The sequence below is a fragment of the Homo sapiens genome, chromosome 21 (assembly GCF_000001405.40).
Source record: "Homo sapiens chromosome 21, GRCh38.p14 Primary Assembly".
Classification (NCBI taxonomy): Eukaryota; Metazoa; Chordata; class Mammalia; order Primates; family Hominidae; genus Homo; species Homo sapiens.
The window spans coordinates 41,915,916-41,929,955 of record NC_000021.9 but is presented as its reverse complement, the minus strand read 5'-3'; the positions used below and the strand labels follow the sequence as shown (position 1 = coordinate 41,929,955).

At 47.3% G+C, this 14,040-nt stretch overlaps 1 protein-coding gene across 5 annotated transcripts in view, besides 3 other annotated features; it reads left to right on the top strand.

The window, feature by feature from the left end:
* The window catches only part of C2CD2 (C2 calcium dependent domain containing 2), a 68,907-nt gene that overhangs the window by 24,063 nt on the left and 30,804 nt on the right, over window positions 1–14,040 (top strand). For 3 of the 5 annotated variants that reach the window (NM_015500.2, XM_011529522.3, XM_011529523.3), the window contains exons 3-5: window positions 7,871–7,984; window positions 10,996–11,100; window positions 11,729–11,851. In NM_015500.2, coding sequence (NP_056315.1) covers window positions 7,871–7,984; window positions 10,996–11,100; window positions 11,729–11,851 — 342 coding nt within the window. Of the gene's footprint in view, window positions 1–3,252; window positions 3,385–3,419; window positions 3,554–7,870; window positions 7,985–10,995; window positions 11,101–11,728; window positions 11,852–14,040 lie in introns of those variants that run through there. The other 2 variants (NM_199050.3, XM_005261109.5) reach the window with 2 other exon arrangements.
* Window positions 239–318: an enhancer, noted in NCBI's record as "active region_18496". NCBI's record gives its function as "activates an Ori minimal core promoter by ATAC-STARR-seq in GM12878 lymphoblastoid cells {active_cell/tissue: GM12878}" and the evidence as "EXISTENCE:reporter gene assay evidence [ECO:0000049][PMID:35858748]".
* Window positions 3,146–3,365: an enhancer, noted in NCBI's record as "active region_18495". NCBI's record gives its function as "activates an Ori minimal core promoter by ATAC-STARR-seq in GM12878 lymphoblastoid cells {active_cell/tissue: GM12878}" and the evidence as "EXISTENCE:reporter gene assay evidence [ECO:0000049][PMID:35858748]".
* Window positions 3,406–3,465: an enhancer, noted in NCBI's record as "active region_18494". NCBI's record gives its function as "activates an Ori minimal core promoter by ATAC-STARR-seq in GM12878 lymphoblastoid cells {active_cell/tissue: GM12878}" and the evidence as "EXISTENCE:reporter gene assay evidence [ECO:0000049][PMID:35858748]".

The window sequence follows — 14,040 nt, the reverse complement described above, 5'->3', positions numbered from 1 at the left end:
CCAAAAGCAAAGGGGTACCCTTAAGGCAGAAGCCTGTTCTTCCCCTAAGCTAAGCTTTGGAATGCAAAGTCACTGTCTTTATACCAGACCTGCTCTTGTTCATCATACTCTGCTAGCAGCCACTGCCTGAATTCTGGTTACAGTATGGTAACTGTGGCTTTCAACGTAACTTTCATTTGGAAAACTTGCTGATGAGGGCAGGAGCTGAGCTGGACACTTGGTGATCTTTGGAGACTTGAGTGATGTCGCCTGGCATGGTGTGGAGCCAGGAGTCCTGGACATGCTTTAGTTGTCTGTTTTCAGTTTCATTTCTAAGTAAATGGAGGCTCCCAATGGTATAACCATCAGCTGGAACTGAAAGTTTTAAATAAAAGTTATAACCCACCTAGTCTGGGGAAAGGCCCATCTCAGAAGCCAGGGAGACCCTGATTGGATCTGGGCTCGTTTAGGGCACTTCCTTCTTTCTCTGAGCCACAGGGTCTGTGTCTGTTGTGTAGGGGCCCCTCCCGTGCAGGGCTGTGGGAAGCAGGGCAGGCCTGTGCCCGTGCAGTACCCCGCATGGCACACGTTGTGGCATGTGATGGCATCAGGTGTGCCCAGGCCCTGGGTATAGAGCTTGTATCCCTTCTCATGAGAGCTCACCATGCTCCTGTGTCAGAAGCATCATCCCACTGTACAGAAGGAGAAACTGAGGCAGAGAGGTGCAGTCACTTGGCCAAGGTATGGAGCTCTGACGCAGCAGAGGCCAGAGTGAACCTCATTTGGCCTCCAGAATCTAGCTCCAACCACAGCACAAAATAAACCATGCCATTAGTGTGATCTTTTTGCATTTTTATTACTTTTTTTTTTTTTTACTTTTTAAATATTTTTTAGAGGTGGGATCTCACTATATTGCCCAGGCTCATTTTAAACTCATGGACTCAAGTGATCCTCTTGCCTTGGCCTCCCAAAGTGCTGAGATTACAGGTATGATATTATCACTTTTATTATTTCACTTAAGCTCGTGCCCCCACCACATCCTCACCATAAAAAAGACAACAGAGATAGGGAAAGGAGAACTGGTCAGCACTATCACGCTTTGCATCTGTAAAACCACAGCTACAGACGGAACTGGACGATCGTGTGGAATTTCCCCCAGAACCTTATTCCATATCCTCTCTAGGGGAAACCCATAACTCGCCCTGGGTGTGTGTGGTGTGTTGTGTGCACGTGTGTTCTACCTGATGCTGAAATACGCCCTGAGAGCTGCGGGATTGGGGGGTGGGGGGCGGTCCCCTGCTCTGTCCATAACTCAGGGGGCTGCCTGTTTGGTATGGGCACCATGATTTAAAATTGTCCACATTTGTCACTCTAGCTAACTGTAAACAGGAAGCTCGGCTCAGTTGTCTTTTTTTTTTTTTTTTTTTTTTTTGCTTTGCTTTACATGATTTGAAATTCCAGGTATTCCATTAACCTGGAATTTATGCTAAAATGCTAACAGGTTGTGAAATTGTTTTGAATGAGGGTCTTTCCTAGGGCGGGTGGTGGAGGTTCCTCATTGGAGACCCCGTCCTCTGAGATCCAGGGCAGATACTGCCCCTGAATGCGACTCCCACGAGGCCACCTGTTCGTCTGGATGATGGTGTATGGAATTCTGGGCCGAGCCAGCCTGCAGGTGCAGCCCGACTTTGGCCTGGAGGAAACAGAGTGAAAGACCTGTGGTGGCCCCGAGGTTTCGTCGGTTGGTCGGAATACAGAGCATGGGGCGTAGGAGGTTGGTGTGGCCAAGTGGCCTGGCCCTGTCAGGAAGCACTAGCTGCCAGCCTGGAGAAGACCTACTTCCCTTCTGCTCTTCATGTTAAAGGAACTGTCTTGATTTTGTCTTTTAGTGTAAACTTGATGAAAGACAACACATTCACAAACAGATCTTTCTGTGTAGAATGGCCACATTAAACCGTGTGATGCATTAACAACACCTCCTTGCAGTGCAGCATTACTGAAAGGCTTTCTTGTTTAAAGTATGTAACAAGAAAAGGGAGGAGAGTGTTGCTGGGGGCGGGGTTGGAGTCAGGTTGACGCAGGAGCCCCACGTGGTGGAGGCTTCCCCCAAAAGAGGATAAACAGCAGCTCTTGGGGTTGGCCACCATCTTGTTTCCAACCCTTTTCATCTCAATCCCCTGCGAGAATTTCTTATAAAAATACATCTTTGGCCGGGCACAGTGGCTCACACCTATAATCCCAGCAAATTGGGAGGCCAAGGTGGGTGGATCATGAGGTCAGGAGTTCGGGACCAGCCTGGCCAACATAGTGAAACCCCGTCTCTACTAAAAATACAAAAGTTAGCCAGGTGTGGTGGCACGTGCCTGTAGTCCCAACTACTCGGGAGGCTGAGGCAGGAGAATCGCTTGAATCCAGGAAGCAGAGGTTTTGGTGAGCCGAGATCCTGCCACCACACTCCAGCCTGGGCAACAGAGTGAGACTCTGTCTCAAAAAACAAAAAATAAATAAATACAGTTTTAAGCCCGGTGCGGTGGTTCCCGCCTGTAATCCCAGCACTTTGAGAGCCTGAGGCAGGCTCAGGTCAGGAGTTTGAGACCAGCCTGGCCAACATGGTGAAACCCTGTCTCTACTAAAAATACAGAAATTAGCTGGGCATGGTGCTGCACACTCGTATTCCCAGCTACTTAGGAGGCTAAGGCAGGAGAATTGCTTAAACCCAGGAGGCGGAGGCTGCAGTGAGCCAAGATTGTGCCACTGCACTTCAGCTTAGGGGACAGAGTGAGACTCCATCTCAAAAATAAATAAATAAAAATACATCTTTAGCCGTTTATTTTGAATTAGTGGGCAAACAGGATTAAATGTTGTAGATGTTGGGATAATCTTTAGCTCTAATGGAGTTTACTTTTTAAATTGAGTCCCAGTTCCAGAGTAGAAATAGTATTTTATATCCAGTTCATACTGTCTTAAAGGATATTTACAGAGGTGAGACTCGCTTGCAGAGTGGGGAAAGACATCTGACTAGGAAATCCAGATGATTACTGAAGGGTCTTTGCCTTCCTTTTATTTGGGAGTTCTTTCCTTGGGTGTTACAGAATGTGATGAAAGTGAAAATTATTCGAGTATCTAAACCTTTTGTATACATTTCCTCAGCTGCATTGCTAGTTTCTTTGGAGACAAAAGTAATTACATGATTTCCAGTTCTCTAGAGTGTTCTAAGAGAAGGAGCCGAGGCAGCTGTACAGGAAGCTTAATTGAAAAGGAAAGTGAAAGGGCACAGTGAGATCTGAAGACTCAGGGGCTCTCTTGTTGGTGAACAGTAGCAAAATCTGGAGTAACTGTGCCTGGAATTTTTTGGCCCCAAGTCTAAACAAAGGAATAGTTTCCAGATAAGCGCTGTTTGCATAGGTATGTGACTACATGAGGTCAAGGTGTTGAGGCTGGAGAGAGCACCGAGAAGGTGAATGAAGGCCTCCCCGCTCAGCCTGCTCTTCAGCCTTCAGTCTTGTTTTCCCCTCCCCGTGGTGCTTCCATCTGCTGCCCAGGGCTCCCCGACCCAAACCCTCACCTGCCAACCGTGAGTCCCCCCTTGGCCTTTCCATGTGGAGACCCTGACTTACCGTGAATAGCCCCCCACTCCGAAAAACACTCTGTCACTTATACAGAGAGGAAGCTGTTTATTTGGAATACAAAGTTCACCCTTCTGTTGCTTGATTTTCAAATGCTTTATGTAAATAATCTTTGCTTGTTTTGGGGAAAAAAAATGTCAAAAAAATGCAGGTTGGGGGATGGTTGGTTGTTGTCGAGGGAGCTCGCTCCTGCAGATGCAGACCTGGGCTCTGTGGAGTTCTTCCCTGGGGCTGGGGGTTCACTCCTGTCCTCTGAGGAGTTCACTGTCACTGCCGCCTATGCCAAATAATTGCTTCTATTTAACTTTTTAAAATCCTGTATTAATAGCAGACTGTTTCAGAGGGAAACACTCAGGGCCCAGTCTGTCAATTGAATAGAACTGGAATTCCCCGAAGAGCTCACTTGGAAAGCTAAGAAGAGGCTCTCATGACCATGGCTGATTGTGGGAGGGAGGATCTAGGGTCAAAATCAGGGTCTCTACCCACTCGTGGGTATTTAGGTAGATGTTAACCCTTGACATCTGGCCACTTAGGAAGGCTAACTAGAGAGGAGGAGCTGCTTACCTGTGTCAGGCGATCCTGACTTCTGCTGTGATGCGAGGAACCCCTTTCAGCCCGTGGGGGCCCTGCCACTGTTGGCATGGGTTGGGAGAATTTAATCCCCATTGTGGATAACACCTTAATACACTAAAAGAAGATTACTTGTTTTTAAAATCTCCTCTCCATTTTGTCCCCGTCCATTTGGCAAATGGGGCATTATTTGTTAGGGTGGCAGAGGCAGGGGCTGGCGCTGGAAGAGGACTTGGCCCTAATGTTTATCCCTCCAAGTGGAGCAGGAGCAGTATTTTGTTTGGCCATGTAAAAATTTGAGGCAGGTTCAGAATGTTTCTTTCTGCTGGAACGCAGTGGCACAATCACGGCTCACTGCAGCCTCAAACCCTTGGGCTCAAGTGATCCTCTCACTTTACCCTTCTGAGTAGCTGGGACTACAGGTGCACACCACCATGCTTGGCTAATTTTTTTTTTTTTAAGAGATGGAGTCTTGCTATGTTGCCCAGGCTAGTCTTGAACTCCTGGACTCAAGCAGTCCTCCTGCCTCAGCCTCCCAAAGCACTGGGATTACAGGCGTGAGCCACCACACTCGGCCTAAATTGTTTCTTTAATTAACTTTTCTAGCCAAATTCTGAGGGGAGGCTAAGAAAGGCTTGGTCTGCACTGTAGGTTTTATTTAGAGGGTAGCGAAGCCCTAGGGTTGGGGAAGACACGCCAGGGGGTTACTATGAAAAGACATCACACATTCTGTCCTAGAGTAGAATGTAGAGATTACATTACCTTAGTGATGGGGCTTCAGTGATTACTTATGAGCTTTGGAGTCCCGCATTCTAGAAGTTTTAAAGTCTTTTTATCTATTTACTTATTTATTTGCTTGCTTTTAATCAAGTGCTTGGTTCTCTGTGTATCAGGGAGTGCGTGGTGGGAAGCTTTCTGCAGAACTGGATACGAAAGAAAATGAAATTCTTTCTTGCTCGGGTTGAGGCTCTGAGTCTGTTTTCTTGGTACAATGCTGATTAGCTTAGTAGAGAAGGCTCCAGAGGAATTATGCAGTGCTCAGAGTCAGGGTTGGGTTTTTAAATTTATTTTTATTTTTTATTTTTTACTTTAAGCAGTAAAAGGAGTGGGCTGTTGAGACCAAGGACAGGGAATTTTCTCAGTGTCATGCCATTGGTGCGTGTAACTCATCTGGCCACAAAGCATGTTCCTCCGTAAAGGACTGTTTATAGATCATTTATTTTTAACATGAATAGACAACATTTCTTATACAAACATTTTTTTGTTCTGGCCCTTTGTGAACTCTGGAGATGATGGAAATATGTAATTAACTCATGTGTATCAGTCTTCTGAACGTGGCGTTATAAGAACCGGTAGAAAGAGTTGCACGACTTTCTGCCAATATTGAGAGAAGGCAGGATTTTCTTTTTCTAGCTCTGTGGCATTGAGGTATTTGGTTGTGGATATTGGATGTTGACCCCTGCCCGGGCCTTAGTGCCCAGGTTCCGTTTTTGTTCCAGAGTGGGATGGGCCACTGGTGGGAAGAGCTGGACCCAGGGCTTGGCTGCGGCCAGGAGCCAGCAGATGAGAAAGTACAGGGGAATGTCCTAGCCCTGAACTTGGGGGAATAGCAGGCCCTGACTGAGTAATTATTTTGATAATCTTTCCATTTGGTATTTTAGATTCTGATAAATCCACCAGAGAATTAAAGAATTTTCTCTTCCTGTCCTGTGACTCCCTGCAGTGGAGTCAGTGGTTCTTTTGGGAATGAGGAGGTCAGTCTGACTTACCCTCAGCTCCTGGTAGCTTTGCTTTTTGGCCAAACACTGGCCACCTACGGAACCCCCTTGTGCCTGCCCTGTGGTCCAGCCCACTGTGCCCCTGGCCTCCCCTCTCCTCCTCCTGGCCAGTACACACCTGGCACCTGGCCTGGTAATTATCCCACACGTGTCTGCTTGGCCCTCTGCCCCCGGGAGGGGAGCGGGGAGGGGTCTGACCTCTCATTCTACATCAGCTTCTGTAGAGGAATCTGTGGCAGAAACTAGATCTCTCTCTGTGCCATGGTAGCTGTGAAAAGCACCCCTCTTAATACTGTATGATTATGATTTATGTCAGGAAACCACAGTTTGGTTTATTCCTGAGGTTATTATCTTTCTCTGTCTGACAGTTTCTTCAACGAGCTCATTTTATAATTCTGGTTTTGGTACGGCTGCATAATTTTATAATTGTTTGATACTTTGTATGTTTTTCCAATTACTCCCACCTTTTTGAAAACCATGATCGCCTCGAAATTATTTAGGTGGAAGCAACCCATTGTGTTCTGGGTAATTTAAGAAAACTTTTTTTACTTCTAACATCTATAACTTACTTTCTCTTTAAGACTCATTTTTAGCAAAAGAACTTGGCTAATGGCTTTGACTGTGTATGAATGTGGAAACATTTGGGGAATTAAAAATCAGCTATTGTGGAGAAATAGAACAAGATGATATTTAAAGAAAAAGACTTTGTTGGCCGGGCACGGTGGCTCATGCCTGTAATCCTAGCACTTTGGAAGGCCGAGGTGGGCGGATCACGAGGTGAGGAGATCGAGACCCTCCTGGCTAATGGTGAAACCCCGTCTCTACTAAAAACACAAAAAATTAGCCGGGAGTAGTAGCACACGCCTGTAAACCCAGCCACTCGGGAGTTTGAGGCAGGAGAATCGTGTGAACCCGGGAGGCGGAGGTTGCAGTGAGCTAAGATTGTGCCACTGCACTCCAACCTGGGCGACAGAGTGAAACTCCATCTCCAAAAAAAAAAAAAGGAAAAAGACTGTATTACATGTGGAAAGCGCATGATAACTAGATTTGGTCAAGACTTTAGCTGCTAAGAAAGTCATCAGGAAGCAAAGATTTGAAACATTGTTTCTGGTTTTCAAACTATATTATAGAAAAGGTTTTAATCTGAATATTTATCCAACTTTGAAACTCTAAATTTGTATCCTTGCTAACATATAAAGTCCAGATTATTTTGATATAAAGATGCCTAGGCCAGGCGTGGTGGCTCACACCTGTAATCCCAGCACTTTGGGAGGCTGAGGTGGGTAGATCAGCTGAGGCCAGGAGTTCGAGACTGGCCTGGCCAACATGGTGAAACTTTGTCTCTACTAAAAATACAAAAATTTGCTGGCCATGGTGGCACACACCTGTAATCCCAGCTACTTGGGAGGCTGAGGTGGGAGAATCACTTGAACCAGGGAGGCGGAGGTTGCAGTGAGCCGAGATTGCTCCACTGCACTTCAGCCTGGGTGACAGAGTGAGACTCCGTCTCAAAAAAAAAAAAAAAAGATGCCTATGGCAGCTGAGCACAGTGGCTCATGCCTGCAATCCCAGCACTTTGGGAGGCCAAGGTGGGAAGATTGTTTGAGCTCAGGAGTTCAAAACCAGCCTCAGTAATACAGGTAGAGCCCATCTTTACAAAAAAGACAAAAACAAAAATTAGGTGGGTGTGGGGGCACACCCCTGTAGTTTCATGTACTCAGGAGGCTGAGGTGGGAAGATCGCCTGAGCTGGGGAGGTGGAGGTTGCAGTGAGCTGAGATCGCGCCACTGCACTCCAGCCTGGGCGACAGAGTGAGACCTTGTCTCAAAAAAAAAAAAAGAAGAAGAAGAAGATGCGTATGCACGCGCTGTCCTTTGTTTTGGATACAGTTTTCTCCCTTACCTGTGCCTCCTCCAGGTGGTGGTCTGTCACGTGGTGGGCCAGGCTATTCAGTTCTTGGTCAGCGAGACGCCTGCCTTGGGTGCTGGATGCCGGCTGTACGACATGCGGCTCTCCCCTTTCCATTTACAGGTAAAGATGTGTAGACTTTGCAAGTTATGAGACCCGTCACAGTTCTCAGAAATGTGAAGAGTGAGCATGGTGTGAGTCAGAGGGCTGTAACGTTCATGTTTTTATTAATTATCATTCATGTCATAATTTTCAAACTGTAACCTTTCATATAGGATTTTCTATGTAGGAAATGATCACACACACTACACATTACACACACACACTACACACACACACATACATTTATAATAAACTCAGGGGTTGCCTCTTTCGGGCATTTGAATGAGGCAGGGTGTTGTTGACGGATATGATAAGGCAGGTGGCATCTGAGAGGAGAAAAGTAGTTCTGGTTCCGAATCCAGCGCTGGTTGCAGCTTGGAAACACAGCTGAGTGGCTGCCGTGGGGCATTCCTCTTTTCAGTTTTTGACAAAGTTGATTTAAAAAGAACCCCCTTATTATTTTTATAAGTTAAAAAATTAGTATTACCATTATTCCATGTTTTCATAATAGACATAAGAATAAAGACATATATATAATTTTACACATCTCTATAATTTTATAGAGAGAGACTTACGGATCTCTAATAATTACAATAAGCCCAGTGAGACTTTGGTTGCCCAAATCATCAGAGAGCTGTGCGTCTCTCACATCCGGCCAGATATTCACTGGAGTTCCTCTTTAGCTGGTATTTAAAAATTGCAGATGTCTGGGCTTGTTTCGAGGGTCACTGCCAGTTCAATGCCCTGTTTCATCTCCCGTGTCCCGTGTCCTTGGACTTGACTCCTAATTTGGGGGATGAGCTCAAGTCATGCAGAATTCCCAATCACAAGGGAAGGTGACATCCTGTATGCTTTTCCTACAAAGGCATGGTTTTAAATAGCCAGCACTAACAAGATTTCCTGGCTACCTAAGTGGCTTTTTTCTGAAATCCACCCCGCTAGTTCCTCAGCCCCACTCCAGCAGCACCCCCTTTGAGGGAATTGAAGAGGTGAAGAGTTGGCATCGTGGATTTGTGAGGCGTTCATGCTCTCCTACATCCCCCAGATGTTTTGGACAATGTGATGAGAAAATAACCTGCAAAGTCTGGGTCATATTTACCCAACATTTGATGCATGTTTTGGAACTGAATGAGACCAGAGAGGATCACAAACACAAATGAAGAAATGTCATTTCTGACATTGTGTTTATTATATCAAAGCATTCATGCCATTTTAAGCAGCTCACACAGAAGGAACACAATTGTATCTTTGATCTGTTAACACAGTTAGGAACCAATATGTGGATTACCTCTCAGCGCAGAGGCAGCTGCTAGAGATGGGTAAATAATTGATGCTAGCGGCAGGAGGCGTTCCCGCTTCTCTGATGTTCCTCCAACCAGAGATGCAAGAGTGGTCTCCATCGACTGAGCTGTCTGTGTCAAAACAATTAAAGTGCACTTTTCCACTAGAATTACCTAATTTTTTTCCTAGAATTACCAGACAAGGAAGGCAGGTTGGAGACAGTTATGAAGTAGAAGTCATCGTTTTTCTCTTACCCTGCTTCTAGCATGAGGTGAGAGTCCACTTACTCAGATAGTCTGAAGTCGTTCTTCCCTTTTGTTTAGGAGTGGGGAAGGAATGGAGATCTGCAAAGTTAAGATTTTTGCTTTGGACGGAGCATCTAGCTGAAGAATAAAGGATGCAATATTAGCTTTCTATGGCTGTGGAAACAAATGACCCTGAACAGTTTAAAACAGCACAGATTGGTGATGCCATCGTGAAGGAGGCCAGGTGTCCGGCCAGGCCCAAATCCAGGAGCTGTCAGGGCTGCCTGCCTTAGCGGCAGTCACAGGGGAGTCTGTTCGTTGCTTTTGGGGTTGTTGGTAGAATTTCATTCCATGGGATTACGGGACTGAGTTCCATTTTCTTGTGGCTGTCAGTGGAGGGCCATTTCCGGCTCCTTGAGGCACCCCATTTTTTGGCTCAGGGTGCCTTCCTCCACGTCCACACCCGCAGGGATGCCTGCAGTCCTCACGTCACATGCCCTGGCCCCTCTTCTCCCGTGCTCCCCCACTCTTCAGGACTCAGGTGTTTCCACTGGGCTCTTCGGAAGGACCCAGGGTCATCTCCCCATCTTGAGGTCCTCTCCCTGTCGCACCTGCCAAGTCTCCTGTGCCCTGTAGGGTCTCACAGTCACAAGTTCCAGGGATTAGGGGGTGAACATCTTTGGGGGCCGCTGTTCTGTCTCCCAAATGGACAGGGTGGGATGAGGCATCCTTAGAGATGGAGTCCAGTTAGAGGCTGCTGTGGCGGCCCCAGCAAGAGACAGTAAAGATGGCTTTGTGCTGCACACAATCTTCAGGGCTGTTTGAGTGTGGGGCAGGGGAGCCCACGCCCAGGATTAGAATGAGGCGCCCTGGGCCCTTCTCTCACTCCTCTTTCCTTTATGCCTTGCGGATACTCCCAGAAGGAGAAATGCAAAGCACAGCAAACTATTTATGTTAAATAGACTGCAAGGTTTGATGGCATCTGGTTGTCGACCACCAATGCTGAGGTTCCTCTTTGAGGGGTAGGTTGAGGCCAGAGAAGGGGCAGGAAGGGCAGGGGGTAAAGAGAGTTTGGGGTCCTGCTCTCCATTTTGAAAGCACATTGTATGCCAAGTGGAAAGCTAAGCAGTTTTCTGTGAAAATATGTGAATAAATGAGCAGGTACACACATACATACACACATGCACACTGATGCAGACATGCGCACACATACACACAGGCACACGTGCTCACATGCACACTTCCGCACACGCTCAAATACACATGCACATGCACACATTCACACTCACATGCACACACATGCTCATACATGCACACATGAGCACACATGCTCATATGCACACATGCGCATACACGCACACTCACATGCACTCATATATGCTCACATAGACACATGCTCACATGCATATATGCACACACACATGCTCACACAGTCACATGCACACGCACGTGCACATTAAGGCTTTGGTGGAAAGAGTGGCCCTCTAATAACTTGTTTTTTAATAGCTGGAGTTCCACATGAAGGAGAAGAGAGAGGACCTCCAGATTAGCTGGTCTTTCATCAGTGTGCCGGAAATGGCCGTTAATATCCAGCCCAAAGCACTGGGGGAGGTCAGTCCGTAAGTTTTTATGATTCTTCCATTGGCGTGAGAACGCACGTGTGTTAGGACAGTCTGCGGTGGGGAACTGAGTGCATGGCTGGTGTTGCTGGCCTCCTTCCCTGTCCCAGCCACTCCTCCTGGGGCTGGCTTGGGCCTCTCAGGATGTGGATGGGCCCTTTGGCTTGGCAGGGCCTGCTGGGGGATGGCTTTGATGGATTGGATGCAGGGCTCCCACCTGAGCTGCACCTGCAGTCACCTGGCCATTTAAAAAAAAAACCCTGAAGCCTTCCCTGCCCCACCCAAGATGCAGGTTTAATTGGCTGGGGATGATTTTAGCACTCATATGCAGCCAAGGCTAATGACACCGTAGGTACCTGCTTGACGCTCCACCATGTCTGACGATCAGGCCCTCTCTCCCACGGTGAGGGTGCTGCACTCGTAACTTGGGCTGAGTCCGAAGGCTGCTTCCAAGGGCAGGGCGTCCTTTCTTTCCACAGTTTTTGCAAAGACAGAGCTAAAATCTGAAGGTAATTTCCTTCCTTCCTACTTTGCATGGTTTTAGTCACCTGAAGACGTGAGATTGGGAGCAGGGAGTGGGCTTGCAAAGGCGATTTGTCAACTTTCTCCTCTTTCACCAGGACCAGGTGGCTGAGACAAGTGCGATGTCTGACGTTCTCAAGGACATCTTGAAGCATTTGGCTGGTTCTGCCTCTCCATCAGTGGTTCTGATTACCAAGCCCACGACTGTAAAGGAAGCTCAGGTAAACTCATCTGGGTGCTGTGGGTGCATCTGAACCCCGTTAGGCACCATGGCCCACCTCTCTTGGAGAATCTGTGTGCGTTCCAGCGTTCCTCCACCTCCCATGGTAGAGCCAAGATGGCTCGGGTGCTTGCTGGAGATCATGATGGTGGATGTGGGATAAAGCCTTGGGTTTGGAGCATGGGGCTGCAAAGCTTCATGAAGTGGAAGGAAAACCTGACATTTCCCTGTCCATTCAGAGCCCTAGACCTCATCTTTCCAGGACCAAGGTACCTGGGAAAGCAGCCAGTGTTGAGAACATTGCCCCAGAAGCAAGCAGAGCCAGGTGGGTGGGATAGACAGAGATGGTTTAGCCTGGGCTAGGGCCGGCCTGCTGCCCTGGTCCTGCCTGCAACAGCTCCTGCCTCTTGGAGGTCTGTGTCCTTTGGAGGCACACGATAAAGGAGGCTAGTCTCATCTGTGCGACCCCCTTTTCCATATCACCTGCCTCCCTCCTCATGCTGGAGCCCCCCTATTCCATCTGATTAGGGCGCTACTCACTTTTCTGGTTAAATTCTTAACCAGAGCATTTGCCCTGGTCAACCTCATGGGCCTAAATAACACATCAGTAATCCTTTGTTTAAGGTGAGTTCTCTCAGTCATACGCTGATCTTTTTATCATGATTACGTACAACAGGCACTTATAGTCCCTGAAGTTTAAAAAATATATTTTTTTGGCAGTGGTTTTATGTAGCATGATAAAATACATCTTTATTATAATGTCCATCTTTATTATCTAGCTCTTGGTGAAGTCAGTTTGAAAATACAAATTCCTGTGTGATGTCTGTCCTTGGTCTGCAGATGTCACCAGCTGTCAGTAGGTAGAGTCTGAAGACTTTGTTTCACTGGACAGATATCAGTTGATGGCAGTGTTTGCTGCTAAGCCCTGGCTATGGGGGTCACAAGAGTATAAGGAAGCACCATCACCCTCCCGAAGCCTGCAGTATGCAGAAGGGGCACCGGGCCAGCAGAGCAGAGCAGGAGGGGTGTGGATGTCTGGGGGGCTTCCCAGGGGCCTGAGGCCTGGGGGCACTCAGCCTCTCCAAATGGAGGGGACCAGGCCATGCCTCTTGGGAGGTGAGAGGAGAGTCCCAGCGCTGTCCCTTTCAGTATTTCTGTCACAGTAGCTTATTTCACATCAGAGGTGACTGTTCTGAATGTGACAATCAACTTTTAATGTCAAAATGTATGCGGCTTCATAAAACAGTCGTATATTTTTGGAATCCATGAATTTAATAGGACCCAGACGATCATAACTTCAATCATGCTTTTCCATAAATTTGTACAGTTTATTTAATCAAAATAGCATATATGTATATTATATTGGTCAGGATTTTCCAGAGAAACAGAACCAATGGGAGTGTGTGTGTGTGTGTGTGTGTGTGTGTGTGTGTGTGTGTGTAATCAGCTCACACAGTTATGAAGGCTGGTACGTCCTGAGATCTGCATTTGGTAAGCTGCAGCCCCGGGAGAGTCTGTGGGGTAATTCTAGTTCGAGTCTGAAGCCCTGAGACCTAAAAGAGCCCGTGACGTACATTCCAGTCCAAAGGCCACTGGGCTCAAGACCCATGAAGAGTCACTGTTTCAGTCCAAGTCTGAAGGCAGGAAAAGGCCCCTTTCCCGGCTCAAGCAGTGAAGGAGTTTCCTTTTACTCAGCCTTTCTGTTCCATTGCGCCTCCAACGGACTGGATGAGGCCCACCCACGAGAGGGAGGAAAATCTGCATCATTGGGTGTGCCAAGTTCAATGTTAATCTCATCCAGAAACACAGTCAGTCACACCCAGAATCATGTTGGACCAGATATCTGGGCACCCCATGGCCCAGTCAAGTCGACACATACAGTTAACCATCACCCTCAGCAATTGAAAAAAAAGATTTCATCTCTGTCCCAGACAAGTAGATTGCTCTGTCCCCAGTGCTCATGTCCTTGGATTTCAGGGATTTCGGCAATTCCTTCTTGGGCTCCAGCACCCTCAGCTCACGTTTGGGAAGTGCCTGGCTCAGAACAGTGTTTTCTAGGTGGGAAAGAACACCTGTGTCTCTTGAGACATTAGTGAGCATTCCCCCGAAGAAGTGCTCAGTCAAATCAGTGCTCAGTCAAATCAGCACCCAGTTTTCAGCTCTGCCTGAAAACTTCTCACAGCATGGGGG